Consider the following 21,763-nt stretch of genomic DNA (forward strand, 5'->3'; position numbering starts at 1 on the left):
ACAGGGTCTCATTCTGTCACCTAGGATGGAGCACAGTGGCGCAATCACAACTCACTGCAGCCTTGACCTTCCACGCTCAGGCAATCCTCCCACCTTAGCTTCCTAAGTACGTGGGACCACAGATGCACTTATTTCCACACACCTGGCTAATATTTTGTATTTTTTGTAGAGACGGGGTTTTGTTATGTTGCCCAGGCTGGTTGTGAACTCCTGGGCTCAAGCCAGCCTCCCATCGTGGGCCCAGGGCAGGTATTCTCATATAATACATGGTGGGGAGGGGCTGCCCGTGGAAGAGCAGCCCACTTCTAAGAGGAAAAAGGGTAAAGCTGAGCCTAAATGCCTTTTATTTTTTATGGAATTTATCAGTCATATAATTCACACTTCCTCCGTTAGGGTGGAGTGATTAAAGAGGGGAAGAATGGCCAGGTGGGCCAGACCAGCAGAGCCTTCTTCAAACTTCTAGAAAACACTGGGAGTTGAGAAAAAGCATCCTTCAACCCAGCAATTATTATCCCCATTTCACAGATGAGGAAACTGAGGCACAGAGAATCCAAGGAACCTGACAAGGTTCTGGGTGGGTGCAGATCCAAGGGCACACAGACTGGCAAATGGAATATGGGCTGGATTTCAGCTCTCTCTCACTGCCTCAGCGAGGCGTCTTTGTGTAGTGCACATACTACACAACTCTACACAGTGCTCTTGATTTGAAACCAGGGCCAAAGTAATCCCAATGGTAAATATATCTGCATCCCCTGCCCTTCCCAACTCCCCTCCATCAGTGCCCCCTTCCCCTTGTTTTTTGTTTAATTCAGTTTGGTAAACATGGGTCTCAGTCCTAGTGTGTACCAGGTCCTGTGAGTTCTTCAAGGGGAGACACACATGTGCACATATAATTCTTCTAAAGCGTGGGAAAGTGCAGTGAGATGGCATCAGAGCTGGCCATATGCACAGAGCCAGCTCCACCGCTCTGTCCTAAGGAAGCTGGAGGAGAGGGAGCTACTTGGGGCCCTTTTTGGGCCTCCAAACATCAGGTTCAGGAAAATCCATGGAAGTCACACCTAGGGGCACAGGTGGGGTTAGGGGGCAGGTGGAGGATGCAACCTGCTGAGATGTTAGGCGGTGTGAGTATCTGTGCAGTCAGGCCCTCCTAACTCTGACACTCCTCAGATCTGACTCCGGGAGCTGAAGGGACTATTTTCTGGTTTATTTTTTGTTTTTCTTCTGTGCCCTTTGATATCAAGAGATGCTTGGAAAATATGTCACCTGGACTCCCATTGTGGGGGTTGTGGCTGTTTGGGGCCACCTGTCACTTGTCGCTGGCTTGTCAGGGCTGCCCTTGTTGGGTTCCTCTCACCATCACTCAGAACCATGGGGACTCTGGCCCTGACTGGGCAGTCCTCTAACCCTCGTCTCTCTCTCCCTCTCGCTAGAGTGCTGTGTTGCGGGCGGGGGCCTTTCTCTACACATTTGTGGCTCTTGCTGTCACCCACACACCTGACCTGAGTAGACCCTCAGGAAACTTCAGATGTAGTACGGAGCATGGGAGAGGAAATTTTTACTTACAACCCCCCAGGGCTAGGTCTTCCAAGCCTCTTGGCTCCTCAGGGGCACTTTGTGAAGGTGGGTTCTTTGGAGGCACCTCACTTGTGTTGCTCACAGCCCTCCGTTGGGGTGTGCTGGCCTGTCATTTGTCTGAGGGCCCCTCAGAGTGAGTTTCTGGACCTGCAGATGGCCACATGGACACTCCTACAGTTGGCTTTCTGCAGATTAACTCAAAACACACCATGCTGGGCATCTAGCAATAGGTGTAGGCATAGGCTGCACAAGTTCCAGCCACTTACTTGCTCAGTCAGCTTCAGAAACCTGGGTGTAACTGTGGTCATGAATTGAGAAGAGTTTTATCCTCCCTTAGGAATTCAACCCACAGCAGTTGCCACAGCACTGACATCTAAGGGTCAGGGCTGGTGAGCAAATGTGTGCCCTGTCACATGGCTTCAACCATGGAGCCGTGGGATCCAGGGGTACCAAGATATGAAGGCCTATGGTATAAATGAGGGTTCTGAGGCCCAGAGAGGGGCACAGACCTCTCCAGGGTCACACAGGCCATCAGGGTCAGGGACCAGATGACCTGACAGTATAGGCAAATAGAGGGGTGCATGTGTTTCCTGTTGCTGGTGTAGCATTACCATAAGCTTAGTGGCTTGAGGACAAACACAGATTGATGGTTCTGGAGGTCAGAGGTCTGAAGGATGTCTCACTGGTCTGCAATCCAGGTGTCAGCAGGCTGCATTCCTTCTGGAGCCTCTAGGGGAGAATCTGTTTCTTTGCCTTTTCCAGGTTTAAGAGGCCACCTGAATTCCTTGGCTCCCTTCCTTCACCTTTGAAGCCAGTGACGTTGGCTGAATCCTGCTCAGGCTGCCTTCTTTCTGCTTTTCCCCTTCCTGCTCCCTCTTCTGCTTTTGAGGACCTTTGTGATTACCTTGGACCCACCTGGTTGATCCAGAACACTCAGCATATCTCAAGGTCAGCTGATTAGCAACCTTGATTTCATCTGCAACCTTAATCCCCCCTTGCCATGTAACCGAACACATTCAGGGGGTCTGGGATTAGGATGTGGACATAGTTGAGGGAGGGGGTCATTTTTATGCCTGCCACAGAGGGCAGCTGTTTGTTGGAGCACTGTACTTTTTTTTTTTTTGTCTCACTATGGTTTTTAAAATATTCATCTACTCTCTCAATCTCCCTTCTGACCACTCTCAAAAGATTTTTTTGTGTTTTTCACATTTCCCCCTGTCTCACTGTCACATCTGTCTCTTTTTTATCTGGACCTTGTGTGGAAAAGGCAACAGGAAACCCACAGCCATGCCATCCCCAGAAGCAGCAGGCTTAGGTGAGGGGAGGATGTCTAGCTTTGGGGCCTGCTGTGGTGAGTCCATGGAGCTTAGGGTCATCATTAATTTCATGAAATGGATTTTGTCCTGGAGAAAGTGAGTATCTTCCCAGAATACAGCCTTGAAGTATGATATAGTCCATGCAATTGAAGTCTAATTTAGACTTTTAAAAAAGATTTTAAATTAAGCATTTTAAAAAGCAGGGTGGAATACATGCATCTTTAGGACTTGTTTACATTCTTAACTTCATAGACTGTCAGTGCTGGAAAGATCCTTAGAATCCAAACCCTTTATTTGGCAGGCGGGGAAAATAGAGCCCCAGAGAACAGAAAGGAAATGACTCACTTGAGCTTTTGCAGGTGTAGCAAAGTTATTTTCATAAACTCTGTTTTCCCTTGTAGTTAATGTTTAAAGCTTTCTTTTTAAATAGGCATGCTCCTCCTGTATTCACTTAAAGCCTCCATCACAGATGTCACTAACCAACATATGATGTCTTGCTCTTCATGTTACAGATCCTTTGGTTTTGGGTAGACTTGATTTCAGACTCTGAATTCCTGGAGTCATACCCTCAAAAAAAAAAAAAAGACCCTGTCAATTCACAGACATACTCATTTATTCAGTTAATTTATTCAACAACTATTTAGCAAGGACCAGCAGTATGTTAAAGATGGCTTGTACTGGCTTCGAATGCTGATTTTTAGTGCCCCTTCTTAACTTTGCATTCAGTGACATCACATTGGTAGCTTGGAATTGGTCATGTTTAGAATATTTATACCATGGAGATTGGCAAATGCAGCAAATCAAGGTCCCCATCCCTGGAGAGCCAGTTGTTAACATTTACCAGCACACCACCTGCGATGGCCTACTGTGTGCCAGACCCACCAGCCAGTCAGCTGTGAACAAAGCAGATTGAGTCCCTGCCCTCTTGGATCTTCCACTTCCAGTGAGACGAGGCAGCCCACAATAACACCAAAACAAGGAAATATATAACATATCTGAGGATTACAAGTGCTAAGGGGAAAAATAAATCATGGAAGAGTGACAGGGAGCCCTGGGGACAGAGCTGCTATTTTATAAAGAGGTAGCCAGGAAAACCTACCAGAGAGGGTTACACTTGAGAGGAGGCCAGAAAGGAGACAGGGAACTTGCACTTTGATCTCTGGACGCAAATGCCGACAGCAGTTGTGCACAGGCCCTGCAGTGGGAGCATGTTACTGATTGAGGCTGGACTACATGAGGGAGAGAGGAAAAAAAGCAAGAAAGGAAGCAAGGGCTTGGTCATGTGGGGCCTGGAAGCTGCTGAATGCATTGGCTTTTACTTTGGATACTCCCGCATCTAGGAGATATGGGAGCCTTTGGAGGTCGAGCAGAGACATGCTGTGATCTCACTTGTGTTTTAATAGGGTCCCTCTGGCTGCTGTGTTGAATAGATTCAAGTGTGGAAGGAGGAAGGCAAGTGTGGAGGCAGGGAGACCAGTTAGGCAACTGCAGTAGTAGAAGAGAGCTGGTGGTGGCTTGCATCAGGGAAATGGCAGTGAAGGTGGTGAGACATGGGCTAGAATATGGGTGTATACATACATACAGACATACATCAGCAGGGCTATGTTCTGAGAAGTGCATTTTCAGAAGCGCATCCACATCTGTGGGCCCCTGGAGGCACTGAAGGACCTGGGAGAGTTTGGGGTGCACCTGTCTCTCTCCTCGAGACTGCTGAAGTGGAAACATCATAGAGTGTACTTACACTGACCTGGATGGTGCAGCCTACTACACACCTAGGCTAAATGGCTTAGCCTGTTGCTCCTAGTATACACACCTGGACAGCATGTTGCCGTATTGAATGCTATAGGCCATTGTAACACAATGGGAAGTATTTGTTTATCTAAACACATCTAAATTTAGGAAAGGTACAGTAACAATATGATACTATAATCTTATGGAACCACTGTGATATATGTGGTCTGATATTGACCGAAACCACATATCTCATTGGGATTCGTGTATGGATTGGATGTGCTGTGTTAGAGAAAGAAAGGAGGCAAGGATAACTGCAAAGATTTTGCTGAACAACTGTAAGAGGGGGGTTGCCGTTCCCTGAAATGAAGACTGTGGGAGAAGCAGGTTTAGGTCATGGTCATTGGGCCATAATTTATACCTCTGGTCTGCATGTTACTTTCTTCTTTTTTTTTTGAGACAGAGTCTCGCTGTGTCGCCCAGGCTGGAGTGCAGTGGCGTGATCTTGGCTCACTGCAAGCTCCGCCTCCCGGGTTCACGCCATTCTCCTGCCTCAGCCTCCCGAGTAGCTGGGACTGCAGTCGCCCGCCACCACGCCTGGCTAATTTTTTTTGCATTTTTAGTAGAGACGGGGTTTCACCATGTCAGCCAGGATGGTCTCAATCTCTTGACCTTGTGATCCGCCCGCCTCGGCCTCTCAAAGTGCTGGGATTACAGGCGTGAGCCACTGCGCCCAGCCCTGCATCTTACTTTCTATCAGGCCAGTGGTGTTTCTTTGTGAACTGGCCTTCCTGTGGCCTTAGTTCAGGGTCCATGTGCTTGCAGTCCACACATGTGAGCAGTGAGCTGTCCTGTTACTTTTGTGCTGTGACATTTCTCCTCTGGCACTGGGGTTTTATTGAAGCTGTTTAAGAGGCTTCCACACCAGGACTATTACTAGAGCCCAAGTTAGTAGGGTTGCTCACAGCTACTGTCTAAGGACAGTAAAAGCAAGTCCCCATCTTGCCTTTATGTCATGCACTTCTTTGTCTTGTGCTTGCAGGTTGCAGTCTGCTGAGCAGACCTCCAGGCCTCTCTGGGCCTCTGTGCTCCTGTCTGTAAATGAAGGGGTAGGATGGGCTGCTCTGTAATGGCTCCCCAATTCTACCCTCTACACATGCCTAGACCAGACTTCTGACTTCTTTTGTAATCTCTGAATTACTTTGATTCAGTTGACCTCTCTAAGGCTCATCTTATGTAAATAATGAGCCTGTAAACCAGGGTCCTGTGACTTTGGAGTCCTTCCTAGACTATAGGCTCCTCTGAGCACCTGTGGGTATATAGTAAATGGATTTAGGACACAGCAACCTGGAATCACTCCCAGCCCTGAGTATGAGCATCTGTCACTGGAGGCCTGTTCCAGGCTGTTCCTGGCTGCAGCATTTTGAGCTGAAGGCAGGCTGACTAGGGCAAGGTTAAATTCCACCATCCCTAACCCCTTTGCCTATTACTTGTTGAATGGTTTCTCAGGTTAGGTTCCTAAGAACAATGGTTCTTAAACTGTGATCTCTGGACTGGCAGCATCTGCATCATCTGGGAACTTTTTAGAAACAGCTTGTCTGACCCACTGAGTCAGAAGTTTGGGGGTGGAGCCCAGGAATCTGGGTTTTAACAAGCTTTTTAGGTGATGTCATGCGTGTCAAGCTTTGGGAAGCAATGCCCTAGGGGCCAAGCCTGAGTCAGATTCCGGTACATGTAATTTGTTGGGGGCATGCTCTCAGGAGGAAGTGGGGTGAGGAAAGTGGAACTGGGCAGGGGAAGGAGCTCAGCAAAGGTGTGAGGGCTAAGGGCTCAGGCTGATCCCCTGGGGAGATGTGGAGCATGAATTGACTCAGAGTTAGTCCCATGTTTAAGGCAAGGGAGTGAGCTTTTTGTGCCCCTCTTAGTCATTGGCTGTGGGCTGCCCATCCTGGAGTGGGGCGGGCAGTGTGCAACCTCCTAGATGAGTTTGGCAAAGGACGATTCTCCAGAAAAGGATGCAGCTGTGAGCCCTTAGCAGCTGACATTGACAGCAGCTGGGAAGTATTTACCTGTCTGAGGCAGCTGGGTGGGACACCTGTGGCCTCCATGTCAGTTCTCATGGCTCCTTCTGCATTCACCCAACCCCTAGGTATTACAGTAAAGATAAACTGCAAAGCCTGTCCCTGGATATCACCTTAGATGCATTGGATGCCCTGGTGAGATGGGCCAAGCAGGGATCTTTTACAGGTTAGGATACAGACTCCAGAAGGTGAGACTGAAACGAAACTGTTTCCAGGCTCAGACAGCCTTTCCCATCATGACATGTGCAGCCCTCTGCAAGAGCATCATATTACCCATTACTGGCTTTGTGGCTGGGTCACGTCCTTTTGTCTTAGTGAGTTCAGAGGTGTCATAGCCCAGGTAGGCACTGGGGATGCCAGTGCATGATATGGTTCCCTGCCTCCAGAAGCCCAGGGTGCACTGGGATGCCCTGTGTAATTGGGTGCTAAATTGTGGCCCTCACAAAGGAGTGGAAGTTCAGGGAGCAGTTAAGGGACGCTATTGAGGGGGCAGGAGGGCCCTGGGCTTGGAGAGGCAGTGTTTAATGCAAAAGACTTCCTGGTAAACCAGTAACATTGGAGAAGGAATGGCTGTACTTTTAATTCACAGATCCAGGGGAAGATTAACCTGCCTTGTTCTGCTGTGGGTCTCTGCAGCCTTGATACAGCCAAGGGCCCAAAGCCTCAGTGTTTCTGCCTTTGCATTGAAACACTCCTCTGACACTGGGGATGCCTGGCAGTTTTTCAGGTTTTGCAGAAGAATGGACAGTAGATGGCAGCAGATCTTCATCAATCCTCCCAACCCCAGCGATTTAGTCTCGTTGCCCTTGTTGCATAATTTAATTCAGGGGACATTCACCAGGCCCTACCAGACCTTTCTTAAGCAGTCCAGGGGGAGAGAGACAAGTGCATCCCAAACTCTCCCAGGTCCTCTAGAGCCTCTGGAGGCCCCCAGATCTGGAGTGAAAGCCACGGGCGCACAGATGCCTCTCTGTGTCCTGAGGGGGAATGAATTGTGCCAGCCGGGACTTGGAGGAGGCTTACAGAGGATGTGGCATTTGCGGTTCATTGACTGTTCCCTGCTTCTGAGCATCCCAGCTCTGAAAACATCTGCACCTCATGGGATGAGTAATGGGGAGAATTTTCATTTTAATTTGTCTTTATGCATTATTTGGACTTCACATCAGACTATTAAGGTTCAAAATCTGACTCTTGAGACACACAATACCTATTTCCTTTCCAGCATGCCGGTCATCCTGTGTGGATAGTGGCCTGCTTGGGCTCTTGCACTGGTTCAGCCTCACCTTCTTAACCTGTTCTGGGGACCTCTCTTCTGTGGTGGATACAGCTGTCCTCCACACCTGCCATTGATGCCCGATGCTCAGCCACTTCTCCCCACTTCTCAGCCTGTTGATCACATTTTACCCTATACATGTGCCCCCAGTCCACAGTGGAATGCCATTTCTCCTTCTGATTGCTGGCCTCCTGAAAGTAGGCACAGGAGATTAAACATGAGAAACAGCTCCAGTGCATGTTACAGGCCACTCTGAGCCCTCCAAAAATGGGGTTGATGACCCCTAAACCTTGTGTGGTTATTATAACCCCAAGGTACCTTCAGTTCCATGGTTTCCAAGTCTCTGATCTGATGCGTCTGCAGAGGAAAGAGATTTCCCTTGACTCAGATTTCCTTTGAGATCCAGAAAGTGCGGCTAAAGAAGTGAGAGAGTGGCCACACATCCCCCTGGAAGGGAAGATGAGTGATCTTGTATTGTCCATCTGTGGACATCAGCATGGCAGCTCTGAGATCTCCCTTGGACCACACCTGGGCCCTTGCCAGCTCCATCCTAGGTTCTGAGTCCTGGGATACAGGCTGGGAAGATGTTCCATGCAGGAGAAGTAGCAGCTGTTAGATGGAAGGAAGTTGTTGGGCTCTGAGATAATATTTGGGAGATGAGTGTGAGAGAGCAGGAGTGGTATTATGGAGAATCTTTCCTGTATTCCTTTTTTTCTCACTCCAAGATGCTTTTGTGCTGCTCTGTTAGCTATGTTCCAGCAGTTCCTGGCTACCAGAATCCCATATAAAGGCCCACATAGAGGTTAGTAGGACCAGAACAAGGCTGAGTGAGGTGAAGCATCTAGGATGCAAAATGTAAGGAGCTACTCACTCTCACAGTTGTTCAGCTGCAGGCTGGACACCTGCATTAACCTGAGAGGGAAGGTCTCTTAAAATTTTGCACCTTAGGCTTCTTGATTATCTCACCCTAATCCTATCCTGGTTAGCAGAGTTTGGCTGCTTTCTTTTGTTCCTTCAGTATCTTGGACAACCCTCAGTATAGAACAATGATTTGATAACTCATATTTATATTCATGAACTTTTTGAGGCCTGGAATGGGGCCTTATTTCTCTGTCTTTACTCAGCCATGTCTCTGTACCTGGCAATAATAAGTGCCAAGCAAATGAGAGAGTGCACTTAGCAAGGAGAATGGAAGGGAAAGTTATGCTAATCTGTCTGTGATAGTATCGTGAAACTTAAAAGTGGTAAGTCTTTCATATAATTGAAACAATTTGAACTTTAGTTTGCCTGTTGGCATTCATTAATTTACTCAGTAATTTTTTTGTTCATACAAAACTAGTTACATGACTGCCTGATCACCCAACCATATATCTAGCCAACTAAACAACTAACCAGCCATCTGACCACCCAACCAACCAACCATCCCAACCGACCAACCAAACCAACCAACCAACCCAACCAACCATCCAACCATCCATTCATCCAACAAACCATTCCACCCATCCAATCATCTCACCCACCCAACCAACCAACCCACCCAACCAACCAACCTAACCAACCCGGCCAACCAACCATCTAGTCAACCAACAAACTATCCAAACATCCATTCCATCCAACCAACTAACCAACCCACCCAATCAAACCAGCCAACTCACTGTCCCAACTGTGATGCCCCATCTTTAAGTCGTCTGGAATGTTGCCTTCTTCAAGAAGCCTTTCCTGATCTCTTCACTGTACCTATACTTGGACATGATCTGTTTCTCAGACCTCTCATGGCACATGTCACGCTGGAGAGAGTTGACAGGCTACTTTGTTCCTCCTGCTGGACTGTCAGCTGCCTGAGTATAGGGGTGACTTGTCTGTGTCCCTACCTTTTTGAGTTTTGCTCAGAATTATTCCAATAAATAAGAATTGAGATGGATTCTTGACTTTGCTTGGAATTTGGAAGGGGAGAATGAAGTATGAGGTCTTTCCTTAACTTAAGAAGTTCATAGAAGAGCAGAATTAGTGACTTAGCACACAGAAAAAGTCAACTAAAAATAGCAGGCAGATCTGTTTCAGGGTCAGATGGATGGTGCTAATTGAGATGCCGTAGGAGCTTAGAGGAGAGGGAGGGGGTTTTCTGGATGAAGCAGGGCTAAGCTGAGCCTTGAAGGCTGAGTGGGTTTGAATAACCCAGTTTTGTGTGGCAGGGGGCAGTCTTATTCTTCAGGCCTTATTACTGTGCCTGGAACATATTCATCACTCTTCTGTGCCTTGCTCTAAGCCTGAGGTTTTGTTTTTGGGGTAGGGGGGAAAGTTTGCTGGTATCCCTGGGGTCTCATTCCTAAAGACTGAAGCAGCTCTCTTGTTCTTCCCCAGCGTGTTTTTCTACGGCCTGCATTGGGTTTTGCTGCATTTGCAGACATTTTTGGATAATGTACACTTATGGTGGGTCATGGAGAAAACCTAAGCTCATAGCTCCACCTAAGGATCATGGCATTTATTTAGGGAAAAGATGGGCGTCCTTGTTCCTACCCTGTGATAGGCTGGATGCCTTGGGGCCTGACATAGAGAGAGCCAAAGTCTTTCCCTTGCCAAATCCCATTCAGTCCTGCTGGAGTACTGGGTGTATGCCTTCCCTCATGACTCTTGGGCTGGTTTTCTCAAATGGTGGCTGAGGGATGGAATTCTGCTGTGACTGTCAGAGGTGGTGTCTCCATTTTGGAAAGATGGCCCCTGATGCTGAGTTATGTTAGGGGCATATTGGGCAGAGTTCCTCAAATCACAAAGATGATCTGCCAGGGCAGCTTCCTGTATGGCTAGATTCCATGTGTGTGCCTCATTCCAGAAAATTCTACTTTGTTTTCTCTACTCATTCCACAAGAAGTTAGTAAAGCCATGGGATTTCTTTCATTTCCTGTTGAGGCCAGTTTTGTGGTCATAGGTCCCTCAGAAGTGGGGCCTTTTCCCAATAAAGTAAACAGTTTTTGATCTCAATCTAAATACATGGTATTTAATTTTATTCAACAAAGCATTTATAGAGTGCCTCTTGCTTGTTCGAATGGTGTTGGGGAGAGAAATGCTGAAGATGAGGTTCCTGCTCCCAAGAGGCTGAGACATCCCGACAAATATGTACTACAGGATTAAGAAAAAGATGAGTGTGATAAGGGATCTGGCAGAGTTCCACAGAGATAGAGTCTGGATAGTTTCAGGGATAATTATGCTGTCGATATCTGTTGAGTCCTCACTATCTGACTGGCCCTCTTATAGGAGCTTTGGATGTATTACTTCATTTAATCCTGACAGCAACTTTACATATTTACAAGTGGGGAAACTGAGGCACAAAATGACCAAGCAGTCTGAGTTCATGCAGGTTTTCTGGCTTTTGGGGCCTTAGTCTTAATCATTATCCTTGGCCCTGACCTGGGGGAAGAGGACTGTTGAGAGCTGGCATTAGCAAGGACATAGAGGGCAGGTCTGGCAGTTCAGAGAGTGGAAGAATCCCAAGCCGAGGGGATGCTGTGAGCAAAGAGGTGGGCAAGTTGGTGTAGCTGGAGCCCAGGGGATGTGTGAGTGGTGGGAAGAGGGTAGACTGCAGGCCCGACAGGTGCCCCAAGAGCCAGACCTTCTTCTCTAGGCAATAGAGAGGGATAGAAAGTTCTCTTGTGTTTTGGGTTCTGTTGTTTTTTAACCAGGAAGATGTGCCGCAAGGTGAGTCTAGGGGTGCAGCAGGTCTGAGAAAGGTGACTGGCAGCAGGGCCCCTGCCGGGAAGGCAAGTGGGCTCTGGCCTGGATGTGCCAGAGGGGTAAGGAGCCAGGGAGCTGAGGAGGAGAATCCAGAGGACGAGGCAGTCAAGGAGGACTGTGGGCCTGGAGGAAGGGGAGGTTGGGCAGGCAGTTAGCAGGAGTAGGGGCACCTGAAGGGGAGGTGCTGCTTGAGTCAGGAAGAAGATGAGTTGTTTCTGGATATGTCCAGTGGAGCTTTTGTTTCCACAGTCAAGAGTGGGGCAGAAACGCAGATCCCAGGGAATGTTGGGAGGAGCTGGCATGGGCTGAAAGCTGAATTCCTTGGAGGGTGGACATTGCCAAGGTCAGTATCTTGCAGTGGAGACCACGTGCTTGGTGTGGGGCAGGGCAAGAAAACGGAGTGGTCAGAGCAGAGCCCCACCCAAGGCGAGGGAAGAGCCAGTCTCCTGGAGGCAGGAGGTTGCATTTTCGGACCCTTAGGAGAGGTTGGGAGGTCACTGGGCCTGGTGATGGCGGTTCCCAGGTGGCTTTGGAGAGAGCACCTTGAGCAAAGTGCTCCGGGGCAGAAAGTCAACTGTCGTGTATTGAGGAATGGGAGGAGATGAGGACATGTGTGGAGAGCCTTTGTGAAAGAAGTTTAGAGATGAAGGGTACACAGGGACAGGGTGGCAGCTCAAGAAAGAAGAAGGTTAAGGAATAGGGCCGTTTATTCAGGACAAGAGAGATTTGTGCATGTTTGTGAGCCATGTTTGCACCAGCAGCAGAGACAAGAAATTCACCATTCACAGAGGCAGGGTGCACGGGCTTGGGTGGGGCCCGGAAGGGGACAGTGCTGACAATACCAGAGTCATTTTCTGTTACGCTCAGTAACGATAATTGATGTCTGTAATGATGGGCCCAGGGCATTACAAGTTCCTGAAGTGCCTTTTAAATCTCTAATGAAAGAGTCAATTCTACTCAGCAGAGTTGTTGAGTTACTTGAAATTTATTCCAATTAAGCAAAGCTTTGTTCAGTTATTGAGATCTGCTATTTGGGAAACATTGCATTGTATTGTATTCTGAGACTTTGAAACTTGGCTCGCCATCTTTCACATATTTAGTAACTTGGCATGGTGAGGTTGAAAGGGCCCCGCTTTAGAATTGAACAGATTTGGGTGCAAATCCTAGCTCTGCCATATACTAACAGGGCAAAGGCAAAAACTTTTTAGCCTCTTTTAACTTTTTTAGGATTGTCATAAGGAATAAGTAAAATAAAATATATCAAATATTTGGCCCACAATGGTTATTTTAATAAATATTAGCTTCCCCCCACTCTAGCTATTTGGTTAGCCAAAACACCCATTTAAAAAAAAAAACAGATGGATATATTCCTGAATAGATGGGGATTTTGTGAGAAGGATGGAAAGTGAGGTTGGAGTCAGATTATGGAAGATTGTGATGGTCAAAAGAGAAATGTTCAGGTTAGTTGTGAGAGCCATGGCCAGGGCTCCTGTGCCCTTGGGCATGTCTTTCCCCTGGGGTCAGGCATATAGCAGGCTTTTGGAAACGTTTGTGGATTGAATGAATTTGCCTGCCTTGAGGCATTTCCTTCTTTTTTTATTGAAGGCTAGGGGAAGGTGGGTCTGTTTGAAAGCTCTGGAGGGTGAGGCAGATGTGTCTTCCTACCCTCTTCTCTTCTAGAAGGTTTTCCCAGGTCAGGCCTGGACAATGGGCTGGCACAATTGGCTCCACTTGCCTAGGCCCATGTGGCTGTGGTCCTCCATGTCCCTGCTTCTGCCTTGAGCCCAGGGTTTCACTCAATTGTTTAAAGGGTCAAGATGCATGGAAAGTCTAAGAGAGGACAGTGGCATTTCTATAACTGATATTGCTTCCTTTGGTCCCAGTGTCACTTTGTTTAGCCTTTCTTCTTTAAATAAAATTTCTTTTGAATGAGAAGAAAAGGAAATCATGTAAACTGAAAAAGTCCCAGATGGAAACCGAGACCAAGTATTTTGCCACCATCTGAGGATTAGAGGCTGTTTGGCAAGGCTGAGAGCCACGTCCATTATTTCATGTCCACCTCCTCATGGAGCAGTGGCACACTGAGTGGCCGTATTCCAGAAGCTGCTGTATGGAGGGCAAATGATCTTATAAGGGCATTTTGGCAGGTATCTAGGAATCAACCCCTGGATCTGCCAAAGAAACCCATCCACACACAGAATTCTCACACCCATAGTCTCCCTCTGCCCCTGCTCAGCTCCCTAACAGATCTCAAGTCACTTTGTAGCCTTGACATGGAAGATCAGATATCTTTAAAATTCAACACACTCCTAGGAGTATATTAAAAGAAGAAAAGAGAAGTTGAAAGTATCCATTTTAGATTTAAAAAAAAAAGCCGGTCTGGTCTAAGGGAGGAGACCACCCCTCATGTTGTCTTATGCCCAATTTCTGCCTCCAAAGAAAGAAGAAGTAAAAACTAAAAGGCAGAAATGAAATCCACAAGCAGACAGCCTGGTGCCACACCCTGGGCCTGGTAGTTAAAGATTGACCCCTGACCTAATCAGTTATGTTATCTATACATTACAGACATTGTATAGAAAAGCACTATGAAAATCCCTGTCCTGTTCTGTTCTGTTCTGTTCTAATTACCGGTGCATGCAGCCCGCAGTCACGTACCCCCTGCTTGCTCAGTTGATCACGACCCTCTCACGCGGACTCTGTTAGAATTGTGCGCCCTTAAAAGGGACAGGAATTGCTCACTCGGGGAGCTCGGTTGTTGGAGATGTGAGTCTTGCTGAAGCTCCCGGCCAAATAAAGCCCTTCCTTCTTTAACTCAGTGTCTGAGGGGTTTTGTCTGCGGCTTGTCCTGCTACATTTCTTGGTTCCCTGACTGGGAAGCAAGGTGATTAATGGACGGTCAAGGCAGCCCCTTAGGCGGCTTAGGCCTGCCCTGTGGGGGACTCTGGCCAGCTTGAGCGACGCAGATCCTGAGAGCGCTCCCGGGTAGGCAACTGCCCCGGTGGAATGCCTTGCCAGAGCAGTGCGTGGCAGGCCCCCGTGGAGGATCAATGTGGTGGCTGATCACCAGGAAGGAATTGGCACTTGGAGTCCGGACATCTGAAACTTGGTAAGACTAGTCTTTGGAACTTGCCCACTCCATTTGAGTGGAAGCGTGGCCTGATCACCCATGGCATACCTATACCGGCACTTTGGTTTTTGTTTTTGACTTGACTTGGATTGCTTGATACTTTGGTTTTGGTTTTCACATGGCTTGGATTTCTTGATACTCTGATTTTGGTTTTGATTCTGGTTTGGTGTAAACTGTAAAAGTGTGTGTGTGTGGGTGCCCTTTTTACTCGTTCTTTGTTTTGTGTTGTGCATGTGGTGTGAGCGTGGTGTTTTGTCTTGAAGAAGCATGGGTCAGGCACAAAGTAAGCCCACCCCACTAGGAACTATGCTGAAAAATTTCAAGAAAGGATTTAAGGGAAACTATGGAGTACTGTGACACCAGGAAAACTTAAAACTTTGTGTAAGATAGACTGGCCAGCATTAGAGGTGGTTTGGCCATCAGAAGGAAGCCTGGACAGGTCCCTTGTTTCAAAGGTATGGCACAAGGTAACCTGTAAGCCAGGGCACCCAGACCAGTTCCTGTACATAGACACTTGGTTACAGCTGGTTTTAGAGCCCCGTCGTCGGCCCTCCCCACCCCGCACAATGGCTGAGACAACAGCAGCATAAACAGCTGGCAGAGTCAAGGAAAGACCAACAGAGAGAGAAAGAGGAAGAGACAGAGAGACAAAGAGGGAGTCAAGGAGAGAGAGAGAGAGAGAGAGAGAGGCAGAGAGAGAGAAAGAGACAAATGGGAAAAGGAAAAAGAGAAAAAGAGACAGAAAATCAAAGAGAGAAAGAAAGAAAGAGAGAGATATATAAGTAGTTAAGAAAAAAAAACAGTGTACCCTATTCCTTTAAAAGCCAAGGTAAATTTAAAACCTGTAATTGATGATTGAAGGTGTTCTCCATAACCCTATAACACTCCAGTACCACTTTGTTGTCAGTGTAAACAAGGGTGTATCCCGAAAGCACTGAGGCCTTCCTATCAAAATTCCTTAACCCAGTAACCTGCAGTAACCTGCGGATGGCCCAAATGCATTCAATCTGTAGCGGCAACTGCTTAGCTAACAGAAAAAATTTAAAAAATAACTGTTAGAGGAAACCTCATTGTGAGCACACCTCACCAGTTCAGAAGTATCCTAAGGAAAAAAAAAAAAAAAAAAAAGGATGATTTAATATTAACCACTGAAAATTCCCTTAACCCAGCAGGTTTCCTAACAGGGGATCTAAATCTTAATTACCATACAAAGGCCCGACCAGACCTAGGAGGAACCCCTTCAGGACAGGACCATCGATGGTTCCTCCCAGGTAATTGAAGGAAAAAAAAAAAAGCCATCTATACAATTCTAAGTTAATTTGGACAAAACAAGGTCTTATTAATAGCAAAGGATAATTAAAATCCCAAACTTACAAGTGTTTCAACAAAAGTAAAGTTTGCTAAAAGTTAACAGTGTAACATGTATTATAGTAACTTCTAATCTTGTGGCCTTAGACAATCTAGTCCACAGACATAAAGGAAGTTTGCTTTGGAAAAGAATGGTTATCATCTTCGAAAAAAAAAAGGGGGAAAAAAAAGGGGGGCAGAATTTATGTAAAAAGAGTGTTATATAGCAAATTCTTGTCCTGAAATAAATTAACTGGTAGTCTAAAGAAAGAAATGTTTAGGCCGGGCGCAGTGGCTCACGTCTGTAATCCCAGCCCTTTGGGAGGCCGAGGTGGGTGGATCATGAGGTCAGAAGTTCGAGACCAGCCTGGCCAACATAGTGAAACCCTGCCTCTACTAAAAATACAAAAATTAGCCAGTCATGGTGGTGCCTGCCTGTAGTCCCAGCTATTCAGGAGGCTGAGGCAGGAGAATCGCTTGAACCTGGGAGGCGGAGGTTGTGGCGAGCCGAGATTGCGCCACACACTCCAGCCTGGGCGACAGAGCAAGACTCTGTTTCAAAAAAAAAAAAAAAAAAAAAAAGAAATGTTTATAATAAGTCAGAAAGTTGAGGCATGTCGAAGAGTTGTCTGCGAAAGTCGTGAAAGAGAAAAATGTTATAAAAAAATTTATGCAAGAAATGTTGTATAATTTAAAAGTAGCTAGGCCTCCTGAATGTAAAACTATTGAAAAAAAAAAAAAAGTTTATGTGCAAGGTGTACAAGGAAAGTAAAATATACCTTTGGTAAAAGGATTATAAGGAGGCATAAGAATGTAAATTTTTACCTACATTAAAAGGTTAAAAAAACTTTTTTTGAAGGTTTAAGCAAGTTTTAAAACATAATTATATACAAAAAATTCTGTGTGTAAACATATTAGCTACAGTTAAAGGGGTATCATCCAGTTTTTCTGTGAACTGGACATTAAAGTAAAAACACGACCGGTTTTTCTTAAAGCACTAACCTGCTCTATAACAAAGATTATAAAAGGTTAAAAAGAGTCTATAAAAATCTTACCTTATGGTCCAACATTAAAAATGGAATAAATATGTATACAAAGTTTTATTAAAACTAAGTTTAATATTAATAGCACACTAATATAAAGGTGAAATTTAGCTTATCTGGTATAAAAATCATATAAGAAGCATTACTAAATATAAAATGGTGTTTGGCTTTCTTTGGTCTAAAAACTAATAAAAATAGGTGCTAAAGGAAATTTCTCAGTAAGAAGGCACCAAAGACTATAAAGTCCTCTGTTGATGTCCCCACATTTGAAAGAAAAAGTCAGTTTCTTAGAAATTATATACTTGGTTTATCTTCCACTTTTCTTTCCCTCAAAACTAAAAGTATTTTAGCACAGGTACCACCCCTAGAATTTCCAGTAAACCAGCACCAGCCTAAAGATCACTTCTTATCGAAGGGTGGAAAGAAAAGAAACTTGAGCCAGCCTAGGAAGGACCCTACCTTGTGCTGCTAACCACCGAGACTGCTGTTCATTCAGCGGAAAAGGGATGGACTCATCACACCCAAGTCAACGTGTTAACAGTTAACAGTGTTACATGTATTATAGTAACTTATACTATAAGACAGACACCCTTCCTGTGGAAAGACTCAGCTGCACTAAAAAGATTTAAAACTCTTGTAATAGGAGTTATAATAGTAATAGAAACCTGCTTACAGCTCCCTTGTTTGCTACCTATACTTCTTCAAATGATAAAAAGCTTCATCGCTACCTTCATTCACCAAAATGCTTCAGCACAAGTGTACTATATCAGTCACTACCGATCTGTCTTGCAAGAAGACATGGGTAGTGAGAATGAAAGTGAGAACTCCCACTATTGAGTGAGATTCTCAAAGTGGGGGAAGAAGGGAGGAGACCACCCCTCATATTGTCTTATGCCCGATTTCTGCTTCCAAAGAAAGAAGAAGTAAAAACTAAAAGGCAGAAATGAAATCCACAAGCAGACAGCCCAGCGCCACACCCTGGCTCTGGTAGTTAAAGATCGAACCCTGACCTAATCAGTTATGTTATGTATAGATTACAGACATTGTATAGAAAAGCACTGTGAAAATCCCTGTCCTGTTCTGTTCCGTTCTAATTACTGGTATATGCAGCCCCCAGTCACATACCCCTTGCTTGCTCAATCGATCACGACCCTCTCATGCGGACTCCCTTAGAGTTGTGAGCCCTTAAAAGGGACAGGAATTGCTCACTTGGGGAGCTCGGTTGTTGGAGACGTGAGTCTTGCCAAAGCTCCTGGCCGAATAAAGCCCTTCCTTCTTTAACTCAATGTCTGAGGGGTTTTGTCTGTGGCTTGTCCTGCTACAGTCCATTTAATGTTTAATAAAGACATTACTACTGATTTATTATTCTTCTTTTTAAAGAAAATAACTACAAAAGGGCACGTGTACCAGATGCAAGGATCTGGGAGAACTTAGACAAGGATCCTGGTTTTAAAAAGTGTTGTCGTACAAACAAACCCCATGTGGATTTGGCAGGAGAGCGTCCTTATTCTAAGGAGATGCAGGCTGAAATATTTAGGGATGGTATATCATGATGTCCACAACTGGCTTTCAAATCGTTCAGCAAAAAGAAAAATAATGTGTATGTGTGTTGAGGGGGGGGGGGTATGTATGTATGCATTGAGAGAAAAAAAAAGTAAGGCAAATGTTAACAATTTGTCACTATAAGTGAAGGGTATATGCTGGTGTGTGTTTTATTTTTCATTCAGTTTTCCTGTTAGTCTAACATTTTTCAAAATAAAAAAGAGAATTAAAAAACACATGGAATAGACAGGAAAAATGAATAGCTAATAGGATCTATCTCTTATCTCTGGGTAATGATCATAAAGAAGTGGAACCAGGTTTGTTATTCAATGCTGGAATCTGGGTGAGGTGATGGTATAAAACCCAAGGCTAGCCCAAAACACGCTGAGGGAGCAGCTGATGAATTTCTTGTTACATGGGCATCCGCAAGCTCTTGCACTCCAAGGAATCAGTGGTTACAGAAACAACAGCTTGCACATGTTTTCCAGGTGCATAGAAAACAGGCTTTTTCATGTAGGTCTGCTGAGCCCTGGGAAGCTGATTCCCACCCCCCTTTTCCAGACCAGTCTTACCCCCTCTAACCAGCTGGGGCTGGAATCCTCACCCAGCCTTCTGGTTGTTTTGTCAAAACTTCTGGACCTTTGATTCCACCCCCATCGTGAGGCTCAACATGACATTTCCAACAGGAGATTGCCCAGAATGGGTCCAGCTGCTTCCGATGGTTTTCCATTTGTTCTGGAAAAAGCTCCAGATACCTTTGGTCAGCGCTCTTCCTGGCGTCTGCCTTGCTTGGGCCATTTCTCGCCCACACCATCCAGAAGGGGTTGCTGTCTGTAGGTACCTGCACATCTGTTCCACTGGGGAGGGAGACGATGGTGGGAGAGTGCAGCTTGGAGAACCAAGGACACGGGATTTTGGAGGGGGTACTTTCAGCCTCATGCTTGCATTAGATTCAGATCCTTAAAAACCAGAGAACCAGAGCCCTGTCAGAGGGCTTCATTCCGCCTCTGTAGAAGATTCATCGTCAGGAGAAAAGGGATTGTGCTGCTTCGATTTTTTCTTTTCTACTTCTACAAACTCATGTGAATTATTGTTACCTGTTAAGGATCTGGGAGGGAAACTTGCCCTGTGTTAAAGTGTTCAATCCCCAGGTCCTGAATTCTGTGTGAGGCGGGCCTTGTGCTCCCGTGCTGTGGGGTTCATGGAAAGTTTCAGTACAGCCTTTCCACCGTTGAGTGGCTGGATTCTCAGCCATGTCCAGCCCCTCAGTGAATGCCCTCACCTGCTGGGTTTTCCATTCACAGCCACCTGTGCTGAACAGCTGAGGAACCTCAGCAGAGGCAAGAGGCCGTAACCCCAGAGTGGGGGCAGGGAGGAATGGGACCCACGGTTTGCTACCCAAGGACCCTCACAACCCATTTCCAGGGGACTGCCAGGAGAGGCACAGGGGGCTGGCAGGCCGGCTCAGGGACACAGCTAATTTTAGCCCAGGGTGTACTTGTCCGAACTGGGGCTGGCTGCCTCATGGAAATTCCACAGCTCTCTGGTTTTATGTGTATGAGTGGTGTAATGCTCAAAATTTGCAAAGCTAACTTGGGTTTAAAGCAACATGTTTCTTTCTCCTTCTTCTAAAAATGCCCAGAAAACAGTCATTTCTCTGTGCTTTGGGTGTAGGTCAAAATTTCCTGGAGGTTCTTTTTTCATGATGGGGCAGTGTAGGGTGGAAGGAAGCATAGCTCTAGGAACCAGTCTTGACTTGATCTTGCTCTGGCCAAACCAGGGCAGGACAGAGAATCAGTCTCTGTGCCCAAGGAGACCTTTGGGTCATCCATTTGGTGCAGTCAGTAAAATAAATTACTTTAAAAAATACTGGAGGACCAGCGTCAGGTTCAGAAGCAGAGTCAGACATTGTGGGCCTGAAACTTACACAATCTGAGTGACCTCTTTAAGAGAAAGAATATGAAAGTATTTAATTTTCGCAAATTTTCCAAAAATACAAGACCGTGTGAACACACATTTCTAGGGCCTCTTAGAAAGGTCCCTGAAGCTTAAGCTTCATTAGCTTCATGGTAAATCAAATGCTATTCGGGTTATTATCATTTTTTTCTGACCAAGTAAGGACATTGAAACAATTTCATAAAATTTTACCAGTTGAGGTAGACATAATCTTATTTCAAGATTATGTCAACCTTTAGAATGAACAAATTAAGCTTTGTGAAACATTTCGCTGCATTGTTTTTTATTTTTATCACGTCACCATGGACCTGTGTGTCCTGGACAGTTGGTAATTTTCCAAGCCTCAGTGTCTTCATTTGTAAAAAATAGGGCTAAAAAGTTCTTATGCTGCTTTCTACACAGGACTTTCGTGAGAATTAAATTTTAAAACGTGCTTAGCAAGTGCTAGGAAAAGTAGAAGGTGTTGCTTAGATAAGCAATTATTATTGTAAGGGCAAAGCTGTAGAACATTTAACACCCTTAGAAGGTCATAGAAAGGTAAATCAAAGCCCAGGGAAGGTGAATATTTGCCCAGGGTCACTTGGAGAAAGGCATGAGCTCCAAAAATAAGTGTTATTTAAGTGTAAGCCTCTTCACCTTTCTAAAAGTAAATGAACCCAAATCTTTCTTTTCAAATGGCTATGAGGTCAACCTTGGACCCAGTCAGAGCTGTTTCGAACATGTGGCTCACAGCTCTTATATAAATGCTTACGCAGGGGAATGCCTTATAAGTTTGAAAGGAAAATACTTCATCCTAGAAGTTGTTTTAAGCCATGCTTTGACATATTTAACCAAACAGAGCCTAAGTGAGTTTAGTGTTTTGTGGGACTCAGCCTCTCGTTGGTGCAGCTTACTTCCCTGACACGTTGGTTGGTCTTTATAAGGACAGTCATGGGCAGGATTGGTGCCCCAGAGTGGCTTCTCCTAGCAGCTAAGTAAACATCTCCACACAGCTTTTCAGTCCACTGTGGAAACTGGCAGCAACTCCTTCAGGCAGCCACTCC

At 45.8% G+C, this 21,763-nt stretch overlaps 1 protein-coding gene and 1 long non-coding RNA gene across 2 annotated transcripts in view, besides 2 other annotated features; both read left to right on the plus strand.

Annotated features, from left to right (window-relative positions):
• Positions 1-21,763, plus strand: part of INMT-MINDY4 (INMT-MINDY4 readthrough (NMD candidate)) — a 140,253-nt gene that overhangs the window by 41,302 nt on the left and 77,188 nt on the right. The window lies entirely within an intron of this gene.
• The window catches only part of MINDY4 (MINDY lysine 48 deubiquitinase 4), a 120,971-nt gene that overhangs the window by 22,020 nt on the left and 77,188 nt on the right, over positions 1-21,763 (plus strand). The gene's annotated exons all lie outside the window — the stretch shown is intronic.
• Positions 6,364-6,483: an enhancer, noted in NCBI's record as "active region_25817". NCBI's record gives its function as "activates an Ori minimal core promoter by ATAC-STARR-seq in GM12878 lymphoblastoid cells {active_cell/tissue: GM12878}" and the evidence as "EXISTENCE:reporter gene assay evidence [ECO:0000049][PMID:35858748]".
• Positions 7,350-7,479: an enhancer, noted in NCBI's record as "active region_25818". NCBI's record gives its function as "activates an Ori minimal core promoter by ATAC-STARR-seq in GM12878 lymphoblastoid cells {active_cell/tissue: GM12878}" and the evidence as "EXISTENCE:reporter gene assay evidence [ECO:0000049][PMID:35858748]".

This window comes from Homo sapiens, chromosome 7, assembly GCF_000001405.40.
Source record: "Homo sapiens chromosome 7, GRCh38.p14 Primary Assembly".
NCBI lineage: Eukaryota > Metazoa > Chordata > Mammalia > Primates > Hominidae > Homo > Homo sapiens.